Here is a 25,887-nt window from a genome sequence, read left to right as displayed (position 1 = left end):
CCAATTTCTACCATCAAGCCTTTAATTAACATTTGAACATGGAACAGGACTAACACAAAGTATGTATCATAGTGTGTAATAATCAGTGTTCTTTGATTCCTTTGAGAAGTAATTCAAAATCTACTTTGCCTACTTTAATTATATTTTTTGAATGTGCTCAATGCTTACATAGATATGGAGCTTTTGATGTTGATTCAACCTGTGAGTACTAGTTTTCTTCTCTATTGTTTTTACAATCTTATGTGTAAATATATGTGTGTGTATATATACTTTTTTCCTTCCAATATGTACATCTTCTTTAAAGAAATGTCTGTTTATGTCCTTTGCCCATTATTCAATGGGATTGTTTGTTTTTTACTTGTTAATTTGTTTAAGTTCCTTATAGATTCTGGATCTTAGACATTTGTCAGATGCATAGTTTGCACATCTTTTTTTCCCATTTTGTCATTCGTCTATATATTCTGTTGATAATCTCTTTTGCTGTGCAGAAGCTCTTTAGTTTAATTAGGTCCCACTTGTCAGTTTTTGTTTTTGCTGAAATTGCTTTTGGAGTTTTCTTCATGAAATATTTGCCTGTTCCTGTGTCCAGAATGGTATTGACTAGGTTTTCTTCTGAACTTTCTTTTAATAGTTTTAGGTTTTACATTGAAGTCTTTAATCCATCTTGAGTTGATTTTTGTATATGGTGAAAGGAAGTGGTCCAATTTCAATCTTCTGCATATGGCTTGCCAGTCATCCCAGCACCATTTATTGAATAACAAGTCCTTTCCCCATTGTTCATTTTTGTCCACTTTGTTGAAAGTCAGATGGCTATAGGTGTGTGGTTTCATCTCTGGGTTCTCTAGCCTGTTCCATTGGTCTATGTGTCCGTTTTTGTAACAGTACCATGCTGTTTTGGTTACTGTGGCCTTGTAGTATAGTTTGAAGTTGGATGGTGTGATGCCTATGGCTTTATTGTTTTTGCTTAGGGTTGCTCTGGCTATTCGGGCTTTTTTTGTTCCATATGAATTTTATTTTCTAATTCTGTGAAAAATATTAGTGATAGTTTGATAGGAATAGCGTTGAATCTGTAAATTACTTTGGGCAGTATGGTCATTTTAACAATATTGATACTTCCTATCCATGAGCATGGAATGTGTTTCCATTGGTTTGTGCCATTGCTGATTTCTTTCAGCAGTGTTGTGTAATTCTTATTGTAGAGACTCTAATCTATCTGGTTAGCTGTGCTTCTAGGTATTTTATTCTTTTTGTGGCTATTGTGAATGGAATTGCATTTTTTATTCAGTTCTCAGCTTGGATGTTATTGGTGTATAGAAATGCTACTAATTTTTATACATTGGTTTTGTATCCTGAAACTTTGCTGAAGTTATTTATCAGTCTAGGAACCTTTGAGCAGAGACTCTGGGGTTTTCTTGGCATAGAATCATATCATCTGCTAATAGAGATAGTTTGACTTCCTTTCTTTGTATTTGGATGCTTATTTTTCTCTTGCCTGATTGCTCTGGCATAGACTTCCAGTTCTATGTTGAATAAGAGTGGTGAGAATGGGCATCCTTGTCTTGTTCTGGTACTCAAGGGGAATGCTTCCGGCTTTTGCCCATTCAGTATGATGTTGGCTATGGGTTTGTCATAGATGGCTCTTAGTATTTTGAGGCATGTTCCTTTGAAGCCTAGTTTGTTGAGGGTTTTTAACATGAAGGGATGTAGAATTTTATCCAAAGCATTTTTTTCTGTCTATTGAGATAATCATGTGGTTCTTGTTTTTAGTTCTGTTTATATGATGAATCTATTTATTGATTTGCATATATTGAGGCAAACTTGCATCTCAGGAATAAAGCCTATTTGATCATAGAGGATTAGTTCTTTGATGTGCTGCTGAATTCAGTTTCCTAGTATTTTGTTGAGGACTTTTGCATCTATATTCATCAGGGATATTGGCCTGGAGTTTTCTTTTTTTGTTGTATCTCTGCCAAATTTGGGTATCAGAATTCTGCTGGCTTCGTAGAATGAGTTAGGGAGGAGGCCCTCCTCCTCAGGTTTTTGGAATAGTTTCAGTAGGAGTGGTACCAGCTCTTCTTTATATATATGGTATAATTTGGCTGTGAGTCATTCTGGTCCAGGGCTTTTTCTGGTTGGTAGACTTTTTATTACTGTTAAATTTCAGAACTCGCTATTGGTCTTTTCAGGTTTTCAATTTCTTCCTGGTTCAATCATCGGAGGTTGTATATTTCCAGAAATCTCTCCATTTCTTCTAGGGTTTCTAGTTCATGTGCATACAGTTGTTCATAATAGTCTTTAGGGCTTTTTTGTTTTTCTATGGGGTCAGTGATAATGTCCCCTTTGTCATTTCTGATTGTGTTTATTTGGATCTTCTCTTTTTTTTGTTTATTAGTCTAGCTAGCAGTCTATCAATCTTATTTATTCATTCAACAAAACAACTTTTGATTTTGTTGATCTTTTGCATGGTTTTTCACCTCTCCATTTAGTTCAGTTCAGCTCTGATTTTGGTTATTTCTTTTCTTCTACTAGCTTTGGGGTTGGTTTGATCTTGTTTTTCTAGTTCCTCTAGGAGTGATGTTAGGTTGTTAATTTGAGTTCTTTCTAACTTTTTGATGTGGGTGTTTAGCACTATAAACTTTCCTCTTAACACTGCTTTAGCTGTATGCCATAGGTTCTTTTGTCTTGTATCCTCATTTTTGTTAGTTTCAATGAACTTCTTGATTTCTGACTTAATTTTATTGTTTGCCCAAAAGTCATTCAGGAGCAGGTTGTTCAATTTCCATGGAATCGTATGGTTCTGAGATGTCATCTTGGTATTGATTTCTATTTTTACTGAGCCGTGGTCTGAGAGTGTGGTTTGTATGATTTTTAAAAAAATTTGTTGAGAATTGCTTTATGGATGAGTGTGAGGTCAATTTTAGAGTATGTGCTACGTGCAGATGAGAAGAATGTATACTCTGTTGTTGGTGGAGTGTTCTGTTGATGTCTTTTAGGTTCATTTGGTAAAGTGTCAAATTTAAGTCCTGAATATTTTTGTTAGTTTTCTGCCTTGATCTAATACTGTTAGTCGGGTGTTAAAGCCTCCCACTATTATTGTGTGGTTATCTAAGTCTCTTTGTAGGTCTCTAAGAACTTGTTTTATGAGTCTGGGTGCTCCAGTGTTAGGTGCATATGTATTTAGTGTTGTTGAGTCTTGTTGAATTGAACCCTTTATTATTATGTAATGCCCTTCTTTGTCCTTTTTGATCCCTGCTGGTTTAAAGTTTGTTTTGTCTGAAATCAGAATAACAACCCCTGCTCTTTTTTTGTTTTCTATTTGCTTGATAGACTTTTCTCCAACCCTTTTCTTTGAACCTTTGGTGTCATTGCATGTGAGATGAGTCTCTTGCAGATAGTATACAGTTGGGTCTTGCTTCTTTATCCAGCTTGCCATTCTGTGACTTTTAAATGGATATTTAGCACATTTACATTCAAGGTTAATATTGAAATGTGTGAATTTGATCCTGTCATTATGCTGTTAGCTAGTTGTTACATAGACTTGATGTGGTAGTTGCTTTATAATGTTAATGGCCTATGTACTTAAGTATGTTTTTGTGGTAGTCAGTAATGGTCTTTCATTTCCATATTTAGCACTCCCTTAAAGACGACTTGTAAAGTAGGTCTGGTAGTAACAAACTCTCAGCATTTGCTTGTCTGAAAAGGATTTGCTTATGAAGCTTAATTTGGCTGGATATTAAATTCCTGGTTGGAATTTCTTTTCTTCAAGAATGCAAAATATAGGCTCCCAATCTCTTCTGGATTATAGGGTTTCTGCCTGAAGGTCTGCTGTTAGCCTGATGAGGTTCCCTTGTAGGTGACCTGCCCCTTCTCTCTTGCTGCCTTTAATAATTTTTCTTTTATATCGACCTTGGAGAATCTGATGACTATGTGTCTTAGGGATGGTTATCTTGTATAGTATCTTAAGGGAGTCCTCTTAATGTCCCGAATTTGAATGTAGACCTCTCTAGTGAGGTTGAGGAAATTTTCATGGACAATATCCTCAAATATGTTTTCCAAGTTGGTTGCTCTCTCTCCTTTTCTTTCAGGGAGGCTAATGAGTTGTAGGTTTGTTTTTTACATAATCCCATATATCTAAGAGGTTTTGCTCATTCTTTTTTATTCTTTTTTCTTTATTTTTGTGTGACTGAGTGGATTAGAGGAACTGGTTTTTGAGCTCTCATATTCTTTCCTCAGTTTGGTCTATTCTGCTGTTAATACTTCTGATTATATTATAAAATTCTGGTAGTGAGTTTTTCAGCTCTATCAGATCAGTTTGGTTCTTTCTAAAAATGACTATTTCATCTTTCAGTTCCTGTATCATTTTACTGGATTCCTTAGTTTCCTTGGATTGGGATTCACATTTCTTCTGAATCTCAGTGACCTTCATTGCCATACAGATTTTGAATTCTGTGCCTCTCATTTCGACCATTTCAGCTTGGTTAAGAACCACTGCTGGAAAGCTAGTGCAATAATTTGGAGATAAGACGACACTCTGGCTTTTTGAGTTGCCAGAGTTCTTGTGCTGGTTCTTTCTCATCTGTGTGGGCTGATATTCCTTTAATTTTTGAAGATGTCCTTTGGATGGGGCTTTTTGCTGTTACACTCTTTGATGCCTTTGAGGATTTGACTGTAGTATAAGTTAGGCTCCATTGACTGGCTTCATTTCTGGATGATTTCAGGGGGCCAAGGCTCAACCTAACACTTTTGGGCTGTGTGCTCTAATGCTAGAGGCCCGGGACCAGGCTCATGGCTTTGTTTGGTGGCCATGAGACTTGTCCCGGCCCCCCAGGATTAGAGCACACAGCCCAAAAGTGTTGAGCTGTTAAGCACCTGCTGTGCTGGAAGGTCCTAGGTATTTATTGCTGGTTTGCTGGCAACAATACTGCAATGGTGGGGTGCTAGCAAAAGTGCTTTGTTGAGGTGGTGACAGTGGGGTCTGCATGCATGCATGTGCAGGCACCAGTGGGGTAGCGGGGTCCTCATGCATATGTGTGCCTTGCAAAGTGATAGGGAAAGCTGCAGGTGAGTACACACTAGCAAAGTGGTGGTGGGGAGGTCCATCTGCAGAAGCTTTCCAGTGGTTAGATGGGGTCTGCCAACAAAGAAGCTATGGTGGCAGCCACTGGGAAGCACCCTACTTGGGCATCCAAAGCTGTGCTGCAAGCAGGCACGGTGAGGGAGGGAACCCAGGATAGGCCAGCAGACAGGGTGTGCTTAGATTATCCTGGACCCATCTCATAAGCAAGACAGATCCAACAGTCAACAAAAGCCAAAACCACTTAGAGGAGTGTGGCGAGCCTTGGGGGCTCATATTTCACAGCAGCTTTTCCCACATCAAACCTTCTGGGCTCCTCGCAGACTAGAGTCCTGTCCCTGACAACTCTCCAAACAGATCTCCCTGTGAGCTCAAATGTCTGTGGGGGTTGTGAGGTCTCCTGCAGCTGGGATTCTAGAGGTCTATTGTGAGAGTGGGCCACTCCTTGCCTGTTTAACTCACCCCTTCCCCAGGGTCTGCACCCTCCCTCTGTCCATTCTCAATACCTTCCTTCTGAAGATCTGCTTGGAGTGTGCCGATTTTGTTGGTCTGGTCTCTCGGTGGGAAAGCTCCTCTTAGCTGCATCTAGTCAGCCATCTTGGCTCTTCTCCAATATATTTAATGACTCTTGTATTCCTCCCCCAAATTTTATGGACCTATGTAGGTATTTACATATTGTACGAAAGAAATAAAAATGTTCAATGGCTTAATCAGGATGTTTTATTTGGAGCTAATTTGGTTGGAAGAAACAGAGACCCATTCAGACTAGCTTAAAGGAAGGGAAGTATTATAAGGAAGGAAATCACACAAACATGGAAGTTATGCTGTGACCCTACTGAGACAGAACTGTGGATGAAACAAAGATGCTAAATGGACTACAGCAGCAGTTCTCACTACAGCTTCCTTGTTCATGTGAGTCAGCTTCATTCTGTGGGTCTGTTCATCTCTGATCATTTTGACCTCCAATTGCCCAGCCCAGGGTTTAATCTAGTCTTTAGAAAAAATAATCAAACAAACAGTTTGTTTTTCCCGTACTCTCACACCCCACAACCCAGCTAGCATTCTCTACTTTAAAACAATTCTGACACTATCTTCCTGGACATAGCATCAGATCCCACAGGTTGAAGGCTCATTTCTACAAGCCTGCCCCTCACTTCAGATGTCAATTGCAAGCCCCAGATTGTTTTCCCTGTGCTTCTCATTGAAGGCAATAAATCGAGGCTACCACCGTCCCCACCTTGGGTTTGAATAATTTGCTAGAGCAGCTGACAGAACTCAAGGAAACACTTAAAATTTACTGGTTTATTTTAAGGATATTACAAAGGATACTGATGAGCACCAGATGGAGGAGATGCATAGGAAAGGCAAGTGGGAAGTGATGCAGAGTTTCATGCTCTCTCTGGGTGCACTACCTTCCAGGAACCTCCACGTGTCCAACTATCTGGAAGCTCTCTGAATACAGTCATTTTGGGCTTTTATGAACACTTAACTATGTAAGCATGATTGATTAAGTCACTAGGTATTGGTGATCAATACTTTCAGCCCCTCTCACCTCCCCAGAAGTTGAGGGGTAGGGCTGAAAAGTCTCAACTCTCTAATCATGCCTCGGTCTTTCTTGTGACTAGCCCCTATCCTGAAGTTACCTAGGGACTGCCAGCCATCTGTCAACTCATGAGCACACAAAAATATACATCACTTTGGAAATTCCAAGGATTTTAGGATTTTTATGTTGGGAAACAGGGACAAAGATCAAAGATATATTTTATAATACTACAGCTGCTTTTGACTCACAGAATCCCTAGTAGTTTGATAAACTGCGAAGTTGTTTAAAGTTGAAAAGTCATGTTCTAAACCATGACTATTTACGACAGCAGAGGCTATGAAGAGAGGGGCAGACTCATTTTGAATTTCTGTGAGATCCAGGCAATGAGTGGCAGCTCCAGGATAGGGGGCCAACAGAAAAGGTAGCTACCTAGTTTTTTCATATGTGAAAGAATCCTTCTGGATGTAGGAAAAAGCCTGAACATGACGTTAGAAGATCTGTGTTCAACATATAGTTCTTTTATTAACTAGCTGTATTCTGCATAATCTTGGGAAATGACTTCATATCAGTTTCCTCTCTATAAAATGTGGCAGGAATATATATCCCAGAGGATTATTTTAAGACTTAAATAAATAAAAGGTTGAAAATGTTTAATAAAACTAAAAGCATTAGACAAAAGCAAGGGAATAATTACTTCAAAGTACCAGAACGTCAGGTTAATTGTTGCTGCAAAGAAAGCAATGCAAAATAACTGCTTATGTATAAATATCAGCTTCACTGTCCATTTTCACACATGCATCCAATATATTATTGCATCACCTCATGCGTGAGTTTTCCAGAACACTGAAGAATAAAGTTAACTACTTCCACATGAAGTAGGGGGACCATATGGATGATTCTAGCTTCATTATTGTTGAGGAAAACCTGAGGTTTGGAAAGGCTAATTTACACTGGTAGTAAATTATAGACCAGGATTTGAAGTCATTCGATCATGAAAGCTATAACTTTTTATTTAGAGTAAAGGGTACCAGTCTCTTTAATGGTTGTCTTTCCATCTATGCTACTACCTCTTCCCTTGTCTTCCTGAGGTAAAAATCAGGGAGTATGAACCACGTGAAATCTCACTACATCTAACCAACTCAGGAGTCATTACAATACAGCCTAGGCCAAATGAGGTTCATCGTTTGTGTTGGCTAAAGATGGTTTTTACATATGAGTATGGTTTTATTTACTTTTTCTTTTTCTTTTCTTTTTTTTTGACAGGATCTCATGCTGTTACCCAAGCTGGAGTGCTGGGCACGATCTTGGCTCATTACAACCTTGACCTTGCAGGCTCAAGCGATCCTCTGGCCTCAGTCTCCTGAGTAGCTAGGACCAAAAGTGTGAGCCACCATGCCTGGCTAATTTTTGTATTTTTTGTAGAGACAGCTTTCGACATGTTGTCCAGGCTGATCTTGAACGCCTGGGCTCAAGTGATCCCCCTGCATTGGCCTCCCTAAGTGCTGGGATTACAGGCATCAGCCACCATGACTGGCCAATAATGTTTTTTATATTTTTAAATGAACAAAAATTAAAGTAAAATACATTTTGAGACATGTGAAAATTATATGAAATTCAGATTTCAGTGTCCATGAATGAATTTTTATTAGAACACAGCTACACTGATTTCTCTATGTTTCGCCTATTGCTGCTTCCATGTTACAACAGCAGAGTTGAGCAGACAGAGAAGGTACGATGAGTGAAATCTGAAATATTTGCTACCTGGCTTTTCACAGACCAAGTTTGCAAATCCCTAATCTAAATCATAGGTTTTTTAAAAAATTTTTTTTGGTGGGGGAGGAGCCAAGATGGCCGAATAGGAACAGCTCCGGTACACAGCTCCCAGCGTGAGCGACGCAGAAGACGGGTGATTTCTGCATTTCCATCTGAGGTACCGGGTTCATCTCACTAGGGAGTGCCAGACAGTGGGCGCAGGTCAGTGGGTGCGCGCACCGTGCGCGAGCCGAAGCAGGGCGAGGCATTGCCTCACTTGGGAAGCGCAAGGGGTCAGGGAGTTCCCTTTCTGAGTCAAAGAAAGGGGTGACGGACGCACCTGGAAAATCAGGTCACTCCCACCCGAATATTGCGCTTTTTGGACCTGCTTAAAAAACGGCGCACCACGAGATTATATCCCGCACCTGGCTCGGAGGGTCCTACACCCATGGAGTCTCGCTGATTGCTAGCACAGCAGTCTGAGATCAAACTGCAAGGCGGCAGCGAGGCTGGGGGAGGGGCGCCCGCCATTGCCCAGGCTTGCTTAGGTAAACAAAGCAGCCCGGAAGCTCCAACTGGGTGGAGCCCACCACAGCTCAAGGAGGCCTGCCTGCCTCTGTAGGCTCCACCTCTGGGGGAAGGGCACAGACAAACAAAAAGACAGCAGTAACCTCTGCAGACTTAAATGTCACTGTCTGACAGCTTGGAAGAGAGCAGTGGTTCTCCCAGCACGCAGCTGGAGATCTGAGAACGGGCAGACTGCCTCCTCAAGTGGGTCCCTGACCCCTGACCCCCGAGCAGCCTAACTGGGAGGCACTCCCCAGCAGGGGCACACTGACACCTCACACGGCAGGGTATTCCAACAGACCTGCAGCTGAGGGTCCTGTCTGTTAGAAGGAAAACTAACAAACAGAAAGGACATCCACACCAAAAACCCATCTGTACATCACCATCATCAAAGACCAAAAGTAGATAAAACCACAAAGATGGGGAAAAAACAGAACAGAAAAACTGGAAACTCTAAAACGCAGAGCGCCTCTCCTCCTCCAAAGGAACGCAGTTCCTCACCAGCAACGGAACAAAGCTGGATGGAGAATGACTTTGACGAGCTGAGAGAAGAAGGCTTCAGACGATCAAATTACTCTGAACTATGGGAGGACATTCAAACCAAAGGCAAAGAAGTTGAAAACTTTGAAAAAAATTTAGAAGAATGTATAACTAGAATAACCAATACAGAGAAGTGCTTAAAGGAACTGATGGAGCTGAAAACCAAGGCTCGAGAACTACGTGAAGAATGCAGAAGCCACAGGAGCCGATGTGATCAACTGGAAGAAAGGGTATCAGCGATGGAAGATGAAATGAATGAAATGAAGCGAGAAAGGAAGTTTAGAGAAAAAAGAATAAAAAGAAATGAGCAAAGCCTCCAAGAAATATGGGACTATGTGAAAAGACCAAATCTACGTCTGATTGGTGTACCTGAAAGTGATGGGGAGAATGGAAACAAGTTGGAAAACACTCTGCAGGATATTATCCAGGAGAACTTCCCTAATCTAGCAAGGCAGGCCAACGTTCAGATTCAGGAAATACAGAGAATGCCACAAAGATACTCCTCGAGAAGAGCAACTCCAAGACACATAATTGTCAGATTCACCAAAGTTGAAATGAAGGAAAAAATGTTAAGGGCAGCCAGAGAGAAAGGTCGGGTTACCCTCAAAAGGAAGCCCATCATACTAACAGCAGATCTCTCGGCAGAAACCCTACAAGCCAGAAGAGAGTGGGGGCCAATATTCAACATTCTTAAAGAAAAGAATTTTCAACCCAGAATTTCATATCCAGCCAAACTAAGCTTCATAAGTGAAGGAGAAATAAAATACTTTACAGACAAGCAAATGCTGAGAGATTTTGTCACCACCAGGCCTGCCCTAAAAGAGCTCCTGAAGGAAGCGCTAAACATGGAAAGGAACAACCGTTACCAGCCGCTGCAAAATCATGCCAAAATGTAAAGACCATCGAGACTAGGAAGAAACTGCATCAACCAACGAGCAAAATCACCAGCTAACATCATAATGACAGGATCAAATTCACACATAACAATATTAACTTTAAATGTAAATGGACTAAATGCTCCAATTAAAAGACACAGACTGGCAAATTGGATAAAGAGTCAAGACCCATCAGTGTGCTGTATTCAGGAAACCCATCTCACGTACAGAGACACACATATGCTCAAAATAAAAGGATGGAGGAAGATCTACCAAGCAAATGGAAAACAAAAAAAGGCAGGGGTTGCAATCCTAGTCTCTGATAAAACAGACTTTAAACCAACAAAGATCAAAAGAGACAAAGAAGGCCATTACATAATGGTAAAGGGATCAATTCAACAAGAAGAGCTAACTATCCTAAATATATATGCACTGAATACAGGAGCACCCAGATTCATAAAGCAAGTCCTGAGTGACCTACAAAGAGACTTAGACTCCCACACATTAATAATGGGAGACTTTAACACCCCACTGTCAACATTAGACAGATCAACGAGACAGAAAGTCAACAAGGATACCTAGGAATTGAACTCAGCTCTGCACCAAGCGGACCTAATAGACATCTACAGAACTCTCCACCCCAAATCAACAGAATATACATTTTTTTCAGCACCACACCACACCTATTCCAAAATTGACCACATACTGGGAAGTAAAGCTCTCCTCAGCAAATGTAAAAGAACAGAGATTATAACAAACTATCTCTCAGACCACAGTGCAATCAAACTAGAACTCAGGATTAAGAATCTCACTCAAAACTGCTCAACTACATGGAAACTGAACAACCTGCTCCTGAATGACTACTGGTTACATAACGCAATGAAAGCAGAAATAAAGATGTTCTTTGAAACCAACGAGAACAAAGACACAACATACCAGAATCTCTGGGACGTATTCAAAGCAGTGTGTAGAGGGAAATTTATAGCACTAAATGCCCACAAGAGAAAGCAGGAAAGATCCAAAATTGACACCCTAACATCACAATTAAAAGAACTAGAAAAGCAAGAGCAAACACATTCAAAAGCTAGCAGAAGGCAAGAAATAACTAAAATCAGAGCAGAACTGAAGGAAATAGAGACACAAAAAACCCTTCAAAAAATTAATGAATCCAGGAGCTGTTTTTTGAAAGGATCAACAAAATTGATAGACCACTAGCAAGACTAATAAAGAAAAAAAGAGAGAAGAATCAAATAGACACAATAAAAAAATGATAAAGGGGATATCACCACCGATCCCACAGAAATACAAACTACCATCAGAGAATACTACAAACACCTCTACACAAATAAACTAGAAAATCTAGAAGAAATGGATAAATTCCTCGACACATACACTCTCCCAAGACTAAACCAGGAAGAAGTTGAATCTCTGAATAGACCAATAATAGGAGCTGAAATTGTGGCAATAATCAATAGTTTACCAACCAAAAAGAGTCCAGGACCAGATGGATTCACAGCCGAATTCTACCAGAGGTACAAGGAGGAACTGGTACCATTCCTTCTGAAACTATTCCAATCAATAGAAAATGAGGGAATCCTCCCTAACTCATTTTATGAGGCCAGCATCATTCTGATACCAAAGCCGGGCAGAGACACAACCAGAAAAGAGAATTTTAGACCAATATCCTTGATGAACATTGATGCAAAAATCCTCAATAAAATACTGGCAAAACAAATCCAGCAGCACATCAAAAAGCTTATCCACCATGATCAAGTGGGCTTCATCCCTGGGATGCAAGGCTGGTTCAATATACGCAAATCAATAAATGTAATCCAGCATATAAACAGAGCCAAAGACAAAAACCACATGATTATCTCAATAGATGCAGAAAAAGCCTTTGACAAAATTCAACAGCACTTCATGCTAAAAACTCTCAATAAATTAGGTATTGATGGGACGTATTTCAAAATAATAAGAACTGTCTATGACAAACCCACAGCCAATATCATACTGAATGGGCAAAAACTGGAAGCATTCTCTTTGAAAACTGGCACAAGACAGGGATGTCCTCTCTCACCACTCCTATTCAACATAGTGTTGGAAGTTCTGGCCAGGGCAATTAGGCAGGAGAAGGAAATAAAGGGTATTCAATTAGGAAAAGAGGAAGTCAAATTGTCCCTGTTTGCAGATGACATGATTGTATATCTAGAAAACCCCATTGTCTCAGCCCAAAATCTCCTTAAGCTGATAAGCAACTTCAGCAAAGTCTCAGGATACAAAATCAATGTACAAAAATCACAAGCATTCTTATACACCAACAACAGACAAACAGAGAGCCAAATCATGAGTGAACTCCCATTCACAATTGCTTCAAAGAGAATAAAATACCTAGGAATCCAACTTACAAGGGATGTGAAGGACCTCTTCAAGGAGAACTACAAACCACTGCTCAAGGAAATAAAAGAGGATACAAACAAATGGAAGAACATTCCACGCTCATGGGTAGGAAGAATCAATATCATGAAAATGGCCATACTGCCCAAGGTAATTTACAGATTCAATGCCATCCCCATCAAGCTACCAATGACTTTCTTCACAGAATTGGAAAAAACTACTTTAAAGTTCATATGGAACCAAAAAAGAGCCCGCATCGCCAAGGCAATCCTAAGCCAAAAGAACAAAGCTGGAGGCATCACACTACGTGACTTCAAACTATACTACAAGGCTACGGTAACCAAAACAGCATGGTACTGGTACCAAAACAGAGATATAGATCAATGGAACAGAACAGAGCCCTCAGAAATAATGCCGCATATCTACAACTATCTGATCTTTGAAATACCTGAGAAAAACAAGCAATTGGGAAAGGATTCCCTATTTAATAAATGGTGCTGGGAAAACTGGCTAGCCATATGTAGAAAGCTGAAACTGGATCCCTTCCTTACACCTTATACAAAAATCAATTCAAGATGGATTAAAGACTTAAACATTAGACCTAAAACCATAAAAACCCTAGAAGAAAACCTAGGCATTACCATTCAGGACATAGGCATGGGCAAGGACTTCATGTCCAAAACACCAAAAGCAATGGCAACAAAAGACAAAATTCACAAATGGGATCTAATTAAACTAAAGAGCTTCTGCACAGCAAAAGAAACTACCATCAGAGTGAACAGGCAACCTACAAAATGGGAGAAAATTTTCGCAACCTACTCATCTGACAAAGGGCTAATATCCAGAATCTACAATGAACTCAAACAAATTTACAAGAAAAAAACAAACAACCCCATCAAAAAGTGGGCAAGGACATGAACAGACACTTCTCAAAAGAAGACATTTATGCAGCCAAACACATGAAAAAATGCTCATCATCACTGGCCATCAGAGAAATGCAAATCAAAACCACAATGAGATACCATCTCACACCAGTTAGAATGGCGATCATTAAAAAGTCAGGAAACAACAGGTGCTGGAGAGGATGTGGAGAAATAGGAACACTTTGACACTGTTGGTGGGACTGTAAACTAGTTCAACCATTGTGGAAGTCAGTGTGGAGATTCCTCAGGGATCTAGAACTAGAAATACCATTTGACCCAGCCATCCCATTACTGGGTGTATACCCAAAGGACTATAAATCATGCTGCTATAAAGACACATGCACACGTATGTTTATTGCGGCATTATTCACAATAGCAAAGACTTGGAACCAACCCAAATGTCCACCAATGATAGACTGGATTAAGAAAATGTGGCACGTATACACCATGGAATACTATGCAGCCATAAAAAATGATGAGTTCATGTCCTTTGTAGGGACATGGATGAAATTGGAAATCATCATTCTCAGTAAACTATCGCAAGAACAAAAAACCAAACACCGCATATTCTCACTCATAGGTGAGAATTGAACAATGAGGTCACATGGACACAGGAAGGAGAATATCACACACTCTGGGGCCTGTGGTGGGGTGGGGGGAGGGGGGAGGGATAGCATTGGGAGATATACCTAATGCTAGATGACGAGTTAGTGGGTGCAGCGCACCAGCATGGCACATATATACATATGTAACTAACCTGCACATTGTGCACATGTACCCTAAAACTTAAAGTATAAAAAATAAATAAATAAATAAATAAAAAAGAAAACCCATTAAAAAAAAAAGAAAAAGACAAAAAAAATTTTTTAAACTTAATAAGAGAATGGTGTTTCATCACTTGTTATCAAAAGGATCTAAATTGAAAACGAATTGAAGTGGGGAAGTATCCCTCTATTGTGAACATAAAACTTAACACACAGTTTCTGGAGACAATTTGGCTACATATATAAAAATCCCTTGTAAATCTGGATACCATTTGACGCAACAATTTCATTTCTAGAAAATTTTGCAAAGGAAATAACTACAAATCTTTGTGGGGATATGGGAAAACAGAACCACTTATAATAGTGAAAATTTGAAAACAGACCTGCCGGTTGCGGTGGCTCAAGCCTGTAATCCCAGCACTTTGGGAGGCTGAGGCGGGCGGACCATGAGGTCAGGAGATCGAGACCATTCTGGCTAACACGATGAAACCCCGTCTCTGCTAAAAATACTAAAAATTAGCCAGCCGTGGTGGCTGGCGCCTATAGTCCCAGCTACTTGGGAGGCTGAGGCAGGAGAATGGCGCGAACCCGGGAGGCGGAGCTTGCAGTGAGCGGAGATCGTGCCACTGCCCTCCAGCCTCGGGGACAGAGCAAGAGTAAGACTCTGTCTCAAAAACAAACAAACAAACAAACAAAAAAAACCAGACCAAAGGCTCAAACATAAATAATTAATTCAGCTATAATATATTCACAAAACGAAATGCAATAAAGTCATAAAAAATAATGCAAACCTATATTGAATTGAAAAGATGTTCATAATACAAGTTTAATGAACAGCATGGTACAAAAAATATGATAGTATATTCTTCTGATAAAATTTTATGCTGTGATATTTTATTAAACATAAAAATATAAAGAGTGGAACAGCAGAAAAATGTAGCACTTACAATTACGTACTTTATTAGACAACTCTACACATTATTTTATTTTAAATTCACAACAAGCCAGTTGCAGTGGCTCATGCCTGTAATTCCAGGGCTTTGGGAGGCCGAGGTGGGAGAATTGCTTGAGGCCAGGAGTTTGAGACCAGACTGGGCAACAAAATGAGACCTTATCTCTACAAAAAATAAAATTTTAAAAAATTAGCTGGGTGTGGTGGTGCATGCCTGTAATCTGAGCTGCTTGAGAGACTGAAGCAGGAGGATGACTTGAGTCTAGGAATTCGAGGCTGCAGTAAGTCATTATCGTGTCACTGTGCTCCAGTCTGGGTGACAGAGCAAGACTCTGTCTCTAAAAATAAAATAAAATAATAAAATAAAATTTCACAACAATCCTGTGAGCTATTCACTCACTTTTTAAAAAACAAAAATTAATTTAATTTAATTTTACTTTCTGGGATACATGTGCAGGACATGCAGGTTTGTTACATAGGTAAACATTTGCCATGGTGGTTTGCTGCACCTAACCACCCATCACCTACCTATTAAGTCCAGCATGCATTAGCTATTTATTCTGATACTCTCCTTCCCCCTACCCCCTCTGACAGGTCCCAGTGTGTGTTGTTGCCCTCCCTGTGTCCATGTGTTCTCATTGTTCAGCTGCCACTTATAAGTGAGAACATGTGGTGTTTGATTTTCTGTTCCTGCATTAGTTTGCTGAGGATAATGGCTTCTAACTCCACCCATGCCCCTGAAAAGGACATGATCTCGTTCCTTTTTATGGCTGCATAGTATTCCATGTTGTATATGTACCACACTTTCTTTATCCAGACTATCATTGATGGGCATTTGGGTTGATTCCATGTCTTTGCTATTGTGAATTTCACCCACTTTTTAATTGTATTTTGTGTGTGTGTGTGTGTGTGTGTGTACCTAGCAGTGTCACCATTTTTCAAGTATAGAAACTGAGGCACAGAAAAAAGTAAGTAAGCTGCCTAAAGTTACATAACCAAGAAACAGTAAGGTCAGGATTAGAAAGTTAATGTTCTTTGTATGCTACTACACAGTTTCTCCTTTCAGGATTAGGATGAGGGTTTTATTTTAATAAAAATATAACTGCAAATTTCAATAAATTCTCAAGTATAAGAAGCTAATGCCCTTTTTATAATTAGCATTTCTTTTTTTGATTTATTTAAAGTTCTACATATTCTTTTTTTTAAATTTTTTTAAATTCTTTTTTCTTTATATATATATATTATTATACTTTAAGTTCTAGGGCACATGTGCACAACGTGCAGGTTTGTTACATATGTATACATGTGCCATGTTGGTGTGCTGCACCCATCAACTCGTCATGTACATTAGGTAATGCTATCCCTCCCCCCTCCCCCCAGCCCACACGGACATGGATGAAGATGGGTTTTCAATCACAAGGATTCATGTACTTCTCAGTCATTTATTATCTGTGTGATAGTGGACAAGTTATTTAGCCTTATGGGTTCTCATTTCTTTAACATGAAATGAATATAAAAATATTTATCTCATAGAGTTATTGTGAAGTTTAAAAGAGGCAATGTATCAAAACATTTAAGGCATATTTGAAAAGCAATACATTTTGATTCCATTAAATACATTATAAGCAGTAAGAACCATAATTTACCATTATGTATCTGTATATAAATTGCTGAAAATACCAAACAAGTGACTGTTATTTAATTCTGCTTCTTAAAACTGATTATTCTCTGTTTATAACCTCTAATTTACATAAGTGATCATTCCCGGGTTTAATCTTTTTCCAAGGAATGATCCTAAAGATCATTTTTCCCAAAGGAAAAGACTGATTTATCACACTCATACCAACCAGTCCATAAGATCTTGCTGTAAAACTCATATAGTTATTGAATTACAGACGAGCACACTTACCCAACCTGTGTAAGAATCACATTTGTCTGCTGAAGAAAATATGTTAGCTGGCAAGAACAACATACATTTCTTCAAAAGGAGAATTTGGGAAGTTTCCTTTCTAGTAGTGTTAGGACCATAGCTTAGTGAGTTAGGAAAATTCCACCACGCAAGGAATAGGTGTTATGGGTTCCTCTTAGGTGTCATGTCTGGGGAATTGGAAATAGCTGAGCACGAGCTTTGCTATTGGTTCAAACACAAGAAAGAAGATTCGGCCAAGTGTCTTGCATAGAGAATAATGGCCCTGGTGATTGAAACACCTTTGCAACAATAAAGATATCTCATCTTGTTTCCAACTGCTGTATCATAGTTGGTAATTTGAATTTATTTTTCCAGTGTGTAGATTTTTTTGCTAATTTTTCTTCAATTTTTACTTTATTCACTTAGATTACAGATAGGCTCTTCCTCTCAAATTAATGTAATTAATTGTATTAAACTTTGATGGTTCTCTAGAGAAAATTGGTGAGAAATTTTGCTGTAAAAAGGGAAGGAATGACATTGGATGTGGATTTGATGATCTGGAAGAAGTATTCTACTTGCTTTCCTATATTTAAACTATGTTCTAAAAAGACTGGAAGTCACCAATTTATACGTTACTATTTAATGTGATTTTTGTTGTTATATTACTGCAAAATTTCCTTCCAAGACAAAGGTAAATGCCCCATCTCCTCTTGAAGTTTTCCTGCTTTGCACAGATTGTGTTGCTGTGAATGTGCTTCTCTAATCAAGCACGATTGATCCTCTGGCACCAGGAATGAAAGCACAGGTGATGTAACTGGGAGGAATTACAAGTTCTCTCTAAGAGCTAGCCTGCAAACCCAGTCTCCTCCTCTCCTTTTCATGCTGGAGTTGTCAGAAACACTTCCCACTAAGAAATTAAAAACTAACTTAATTTTAGAATGGGCACGTCATAAAATGTAGATTATTTAGAGTATGCTCACATGCATGTATATGAGAGCATAGGAATTGGATCAAAATAGAAAATAATTCAAAGGCAGTTTTATGACTGCATGATTGTATAATACATTCAAAGGTATCTGGAGAAGAAATCACAATAAATTATGTAACCAGATTTAATCTACTGTGGTTTTCCAGACTGGCCCTGAAGGTAGATTTTAAATTCATCAACTCATCATCCACTATTCTTGTAATGTATAAATGAGAAAACTCAATAATTGTCATTTGAAAATCACAGATCACGCTGGAAATCTAACTGGCTGAAATACAAGGACAAAAGCAAGGTTACCATCACCATTTTTTTGTGGTTGGAATGGTTGGTTAAAGGATTTAATCTAAGATAAATGGATGAATAAGTAATGAAACAGACTTTAATCACTTTATTTTAACCCAATATTCCATTGAGTTGAAGCTGCTTTATATACTTACCAAAGCCTGTTTACCCTTTTGAAAAATTGTATTTGTACTTTTCTCATTATACAAGCAAATAAATCAATTTATATTCATTTAGAAGCCAGTGTCAGTTAGCATCCATGGCCAGCAAGATAGCAAATCCAGGTGGTTGTGAACAAATAAAAGTAGAAGCTGGCTTTCAGAAACAGCTGTTGGAGTGACAGGGTGAGATGCCAAAGCACAGAGAGATGCCTTTTTATCATGGATGATGTTGACAAACATCGTGTGCCCCGGATGAAAGGCATTTCTAGAGGAAAATATTTGTATTCAAAGTTCCCCAAGCTATGAGTGGGGAAATTATTTTCAGATGGTCCTTCAGGAGCTGGAGAAGATATTGCAATTTGCCACTGTTATATAAAAGTGAAATGAAGAAGTACAGCACAAGAAACCTTGTTCTATCTTCAGCATCCACCATCATTCTGCAAAGTCACTGAGCGATCCATTGTAAAATGCTTCTCCTTTCTCATATTTGGCAGATGCAGATTTTAACCCTGTGCAACATCTACTCTTGTGGCTTCTGTAACATTTTCTCCTAGGAACATCCCTCCAATGACTAGTCCTTAGTTTTTCTGATCTCCCTTTTTCTCTACTTGTCACTTCAATATGAAAACTACACTAAGTCTCATTTTGGACTTTTTAATTCTCTCCATTGTGAGCTCAGCCTGAATGAGTTCATCTATTCCCTAGAACTGGCATCATTTATATGTTATAGGAATTTCGGAAATTCCTATAAGATATTATGAACTTTGGCAAATGAGAACATTAGAATAAATGTCAAATATTTTGGGATCACAGAAAATTAATAACTTTGTTCTGGCCACTGCTGACTTAGGATGTTATTCCTCGATGATCAGATGTTTTGTCCCTAAACAAAATAAATGGAGCTAAGGTAAATATATACCTGGTGTCTAATGAGTGAATATCAAGGACAAATAAAGCAATTAGAAGAAAAAGATGCTGTCTCAATTTCAGATGTAACTGTCTTGGGACAATAGACCAATTAATAGAGCCAACACTGATGATGACAGAGGAGGAGTTGAAGATAAAATAAGCCCACCGATGTGATGTAGCCTGCATCCTACTAGCTCAGATAATGTTTTGAAACTCAATTCCTCTTTCTCTAAAGCAAGCAACATCTACAGGGACCCAGAACAGACAAGTCATAGAACTGGGGTGGTCATCAACATTGCATCCATGGTCAACTGGACCCATCCTAAGGGATAACACCTGAATTTGGAGAGAATAATGCCCTGGGATGAAGGATAGGAGATGCAAGTTGTAGCTATTATTTCCTATTTTATGCATGGCATCTGATAAATAGGACTCTTTCTATTTCAAAAGCCAAGCTTTTGCAATGCTCATTACTGATCAATATGGTTGGGTTAGAGATGATCAGGGCAAGCCACTCCTCTTACTCTTATTTAATCCCCCCTGGCTTGGGACCATCCAGAATCTGGAGTGATAAGAATATAACCATCATTGGTCATGATCCCACTTCTAAGATCCAGATGGGAATTAATAATTTCCTGAGATTTCTTTCTTTCATTCTTTCTGGATAATCTACTGACACCTCATCTTCTTCACCTGCATACTGCATCTTAGTTAATTGCATTATCATCTACTTGATTATGCTAGTGAAAAGCCTCAGGTTTATTTCTTTCTCGACTAACCAACTCATATACCATGGTCACTAAGTTCTGTCACTTTTATTTCAAAAGTGTGTTAAGCCTGTTCCTTCCTCCATGCCACCACTGCTACTCCCTGGCCCAGACTCTAGTGATCTCTCCCTGGTTTCCCCAACTAACAACCCTTCTTTTAAGTACAATCTCAACATTGTTGCCAAAATTACTCTTTTAAAATTCAGATCTGATCATGTCATTTCTCCTCAAAACCTTTAATGACTCTGCGAGCTTACACAATAGAAATCAAGCGTTTGAATATGATAGAAGATCCAAAATCTGTCTCCAAGCTCCTTTTTTTTCCTGGCCTCCTTTCTTTGGACCTACCTCTACTCCAGATATACCAGGTGATTTTTATGTTCAGAATGTGTCCTTCACTCATGCCTTTATGCCTTTTCTTTCGAAGTCCCTTCTCATCCCCTTGTCCTTTCTGACTCCCCTTTTGTCCCCTGGATCTTTGTGTGACTTAAGCTTCCACCACTTATCACTGTTTATCTTGGGCTACGGTTAGTTGTGTATGATCTGCTTCCCTCAACTTGGCTCTTAATGCCTTGAGGGCACTAGAGCAGATGAAGATGTAGCATTCAATGAGTGTTTATGGTTTTTGTTTGTTTTCTGTTTAAAAGGGTCCAGACATTATGAGACCACTCTAGCCAAAAGTGTGGAAAAGACAACTGCAACAAGATGTTAAAACAAGATTCTTTTCATGTGAGAATCTACTGAGGGGCTGGCCTGATTAACATCAGGTCACAAAAAAGAGAGTGAAAAATTGCCCCTTCCCATGTGCAGATGGACACAGGAAATGATATCAAAGATTTGTTTCTATCAGATAAAAGACACAAAAATGGGATAGAGTGGGATTTGGTGAGAGGCGACTGATAAGGGATTCCCCACGTTGTCTGTGGGTCACACTTCTCTTTTGGGGGAGGCGTAGGGGGGTGCTACCTTCCTATCCTAAGTTTAATAAAGTGATTTAAAAGGACTACTTGGAAAGCATTGAAATGTGTTCCGTGGAGTTGGGGGACACGGATGTTGGTAGACACGAGATTTTTCAGGCTGGAGAAATCTAGTAGCTAGAGGAAGCTGATGGCTCTGACTGGCAGGTCTGAAGAGTGCTGCTGAGTTGGGATCTGCCTCCAATAGAATTATTAGGGTAGGTAACACATGCAGGTCAGGTGAGAGATAGGTGGGAGAGAGAGCTGGAGACAGACACCTTGGGTCCTGTCCAGTAGGACTGCCTAGATGGGCTAGATGCCTCAGTAGAAAGAGGCTGAAGGTCTATCACTGGATGCCCAATGAAAAAGAGAAAAGATCTGCTTAAGCCACCACAGTCATGGAGTGCACCACCCCCAATCAAGTAAGACCTCTCCTTACTTTTTCTTACTCCCCAAGTTTTATCTCTGAAGGGAGCAAACCCAGCACCTGTCAGCAGGGGAAAAAAGTGAGTCCATAGAGAAGGAAACAGATAACTATGCCCCAATCTCAATGCAGGCTTGCAGCCTGAAGGCAAATCCATGGTATAGATCTTACGCGTTTTCATTATTTCGTGCATTGGACATTTTAATGTCTGAAATGAGACACTTTATAATCGAGACTTCTTTTTATAACCAAATAATTTTATGATCTGAGAGTGCCTAAAAAGCCATAGGTTTGACCAAGTCTTCAGCTTGAGGCAGGGGAAAATTTCTTTCACCATTCAGTAGGATGTTTAAAGGAACTGTGAGAGACAGAAATAAATTTGTGTTTTGATCAAAATTCATATGAGTCATGCTTGTTCAACATTCTCATTACACAAGTAAAGATGAAATATTGTTACTCTGGTATTCACATAATGAGTGCTTTCTGCTTTTTGTGCTTTTGAAGCAGAAAAATGGCTGAGAAGTCCCCTTGGCTTGTGTCTTAGTTTTCTGATGCTAATGAATATCAGCATATTTTTGTTTACTAATATTACCAAAATTCAACAAGACTGTCTGACGTGTGCATTCCACATCTAAGGCTTAATCGGGTATTCTCATATTTTATGCTGTGAACTGCAGATCCTTGTTTTCATAAGGAAAATCTAAGTGACATGTCATGCTTATAATGAGGCTGGAAGCAAGGGTGATGTTAAAATATTTAGTGGCTGGTACACTATTATAAGTTAACACATATACCAGAAAACTTGCTTTTATTCTCTAAACAATATGAATTATAAGACTGCTTATTGAGTGATGTGTGTTGTAGTAAAAATAGCTTATACAATTTTCCTAGAAATTTCCAAATAAATTGTTGAATTTTAGAAATTTTTGGTTGATCTTTGCTTGACTTAGATGTCACTTGCTAGATTTTTTTTTTGTACAAGCCATGACGATGCAGAGAACCACATAAAATACTTCCAATGATTTCAAATTGATTGTCATTGGATGACTTGTATTTATTTATTTGAAAAAAAGCATTTCTCTTTATGTAAATGATATTTATTATTCATAAACCTGTTTAACCTTTGCTAAATAGCAAATATATGAACATTTTTCTAGCCCTTGTAATACTGAGATATAATAAGGTATTATACACCTTGTATTTGATATCATTACTGTCATAAAAATGGTTTATTAGAATATTTAATTAGGTTAAACCTAATCCACTACATGAAACATCTATTATTGGGCTGCTTGGGTTAAAATTCTAGCTCTGCCATTAAGTTTTAAATGACCTAAGCCCCAGTTTCCTCATCTGTAAAATGGTGATGCTGACAAATGCAGTACTATTAGGAGTTAATATATGTTTTTAAGGATGCCTGGCACAATCACTAAATAAGAATAAAATTAAAAGTGTTAATACCCACATCAGTTGGGCTTTGGGGGTTTAAAATGGAGGTGACTATTAACATGGACCATAAAAACTCCTTACCTTAGACATCTGTTAGCCCAAATCATCCCATAGGCTAGCCTATCTATGACAACATCCTTCTGTTTGTGGCCTCAGCAACCTGTATTACCCCCCTAGTTCCTGTTGTCCATTTTTTATACTATGCTAAGAATTCAAGCCCTGTGGTGACTAGTTTTCATAAGCAACTACATGAGAGAGGTTCTTAGGGGATTAGCGACTGACAACAGGTGACCATATTCAAGGTATAATTACATGTGCACCAGGTATTTACCTACCAGCATGTCACTAAAGGCACTATCTCCTCTGGGGGGGTTCCAATCTCCTTCTGACTTGGTTGGGGGTGTGTAATGCAGGGATGGGGTAGGCAAATAAGAGCTGTGGCAGGCTGTCTGGCAGGAAAGCAGGCTGCTAGGTGCCAGTGTAGACCTTCTGTGCTGCCCATCTGGGCTTCTTGCAACAGTTTGTAAGGCACGAGCTAGTTCTCAGGAGCCTTTGGGGGACAGTAGCCATTGGTGATGCCTGGAAGCCAGGACTTTTGAGGGGACTAGAGCAGGATTTTGAAGGCCTTCTGCTGTCCGTTTGTATATGCTGGAATCAGAGGACATCTGTGGAGCACAGAAGAATAGGTTTGGGTGGCCAATGTGGGCATTGGTAAGGCGGAGGAGGCTTGGGCAGCAAGTCTTTCAATATTGTAACAACTTATTCAATTAAATAACATGTATATTGCCTGAAGATCAGCCTTGGGTTCAAGAACATTGGCTTGTCTAGGCTAGAGCGTTTCCTAGCTATGCCTTTCTTTGTTCCTAAAAGGAATAGGCAAGTATCCTATATGTTCAGTCCTACAGAGTAAGACAATAGTTTTTGTCATTTCTCACTTGACAATGAGATCTTTATCATAGGTGGCACGACAAGGAAACAAACTCCACTGCAGTTTTTTTTCCCTTGATTTAGCAATAAGTATAAGGGGTGTGCAGAAACTTAAATATGTTTATCATGGACATTAACAGTTGCTGCTATGAAATAAATGTGCTTCTTAAAGGTCTTTTTCCCCCTGCTTTTTTTTTTTTTTGAGACAGGACAAAAGCTATAAATATTGGTGTTCCCAGTTCTCTGTCACCCTGAGGATTCTAATCTAACCTCCCTAACTCCCTGGCTCTAGGATTAGGGGCTCTAGGATTTTGGACTTTTGTTTTATAGGATGAGGAAAATATTGGCGAGAAAGACAAGTGTGCCTAGGTCAAGGGTTACAAACTCTAAATCTGTAGTTTAATGCTTATCGTAATGAGTGAAAGCAGAGGGGTGGGAGAAAATAATAAGCCTAGCTGGGCATGGTGGCCAAGTCAAGGGAATAAACCCCATCTCAGAGGTACCCATGGACAGCTCTGGTCAATGGTCACCAAGAGCGAAGATCCAAATCTGGGATGTGTGTGTGTGCATGTGAAGTTTCTGAAATTTGAAAACAGTTTGCAGGCCAAATAAAGCCTATCTGGAGGCCACAGGTTTATTACCTCAACTGAGGCCTGGGACAGAGATTGTCTTGGAATTTAAGGGAGTAGAAGTGGAAACAGCTGAGGCATATTTGTGAGGGAAAGGCATGAGAGGTGGAAAAAGGGCTTTAAAGAGTGTGTCCATGATGCTGCTTTATCATGCTCAAGAAAGTCGAGTGAAGGGCTTAATATTTTGAAACAATTTTAGGTTGCTAGACTGTATACTTTTGACAATTTTCTAGCCCTAAATTCTTGAAGTCTCAGGTCTACAAGGAAGTGCCACATCATAAACAAGAAGAGGAACATTTATCTTTCTGTAAGTTACACTGAATGTTATCCTGTCATCCTCCATTATTTACGGTTGTCTCTTGTCAAGGCAAATAAACCTTTCCTTGCCTTGTTAACAAATAAAAAAGAAAATCAACAATTTTATGGTGATTCATGCTACTGGACAAATTTAATCCTCATGGTTTGAAGACTCTGAAGGACAACATGTGTGCTGATTTTAAGGAATTATTAGAGATACACTAATAATTCTTGCTAGGTTCTACAAAATCTGCATTATTAGCAAAAGGAGACTGAATGAGAAGTGATGCCATTAATAAGAGAAGTAGGTTTTAGCCAAGTTAAAATAGTCTGAGGGCTGGAAAACCTCTAATACACACATAAGTATTTCTTTTACCAGTCACAGCTTTCTATGCCTTGGTTCCTAGTTTGACATCAGAGGTAGGGATGCTGTCTCAAATAGTCTTTGGGATAACTTTTATCCATTAGAGACCTGCAACGGAGCTCTTTCTCCTTAAACACATTAGCAGGGACTGAATGAGCTTAGTGTTTCTCAAATTTTTGAGTGCAGATGAATCACCTGGAGGAATGTTAGTTAGTTAGTCTGGGGTGGAGTCCAGAAATTTGTATTTCTATCAAGCTCCCTGGTGAAGCCTGAGCATAATCTGAGCTGTAAGGAGCTAAAAGATGAACAGGGGTGCAGCTATACCACGTATTTGTTTTTGTGGCCTGTACAGTATCAATTCCTCTCTTCTGGCAGGAGTAGCCTGAATTAACTTTGGGGGAAACGTTTCCTCTCCACGATTAGCTCAGGTAGTATGGAGGA

General features: G+C 39.2%; 2 annotated features.

The window, feature by feature from the left end:
* Nucleotides 8,119-8,675: an enhancer, noted in NCBI's record as "H3K27ac-H3K4me1 hESC enhancer chr2:210616707-210617263 (GRCh37/hg19 assembly coordinates)". NCBI's record gives its function as "activates a minimal SCP1, AML or CMV promoter by ChIP-STARR-seq in primed H9 embryonic stem cells {active_cell/tissue: H9 hESC(primed)}" and the evidence as "EXISTENCE:reporter gene assay evidence [ECO:0000049][PMID:30033119]".
* Nucleotides 8,676-9,233: an enhancer, noted in NCBI's record as "H3K27ac-H3K4me1 hESC enhancer chr2:210616149-210616706 (GRCh37/hg19 assembly coordinates)". NCBI's record gives its function as "activates a minimal SCP1, AML or CMV promoter by ChIP-STARR-seq in primed H9 embryonic stem cells {active_cell/tissue: H9 hESC(primed)}" and the evidence as "EXISTENCE:reporter gene assay evidence [ECO:0000049][PMID:30033119]".

This window comes from Homo sapiens, chromosome 2 (genome assembly GCF_000001405.40).
Source record: "Homo sapiens chromosome 2, GRCh38.p14 Primary Assembly".
NCBI lineage: Eukaryota > Metazoa > Chordata > Mammalia > Primates > Hominidae > Homo > Homo sapiens.
Note: the sequence above shows the minus strand (reverse complement) of the source record. Positions and strands in the feature narration are given on the sequence as shown.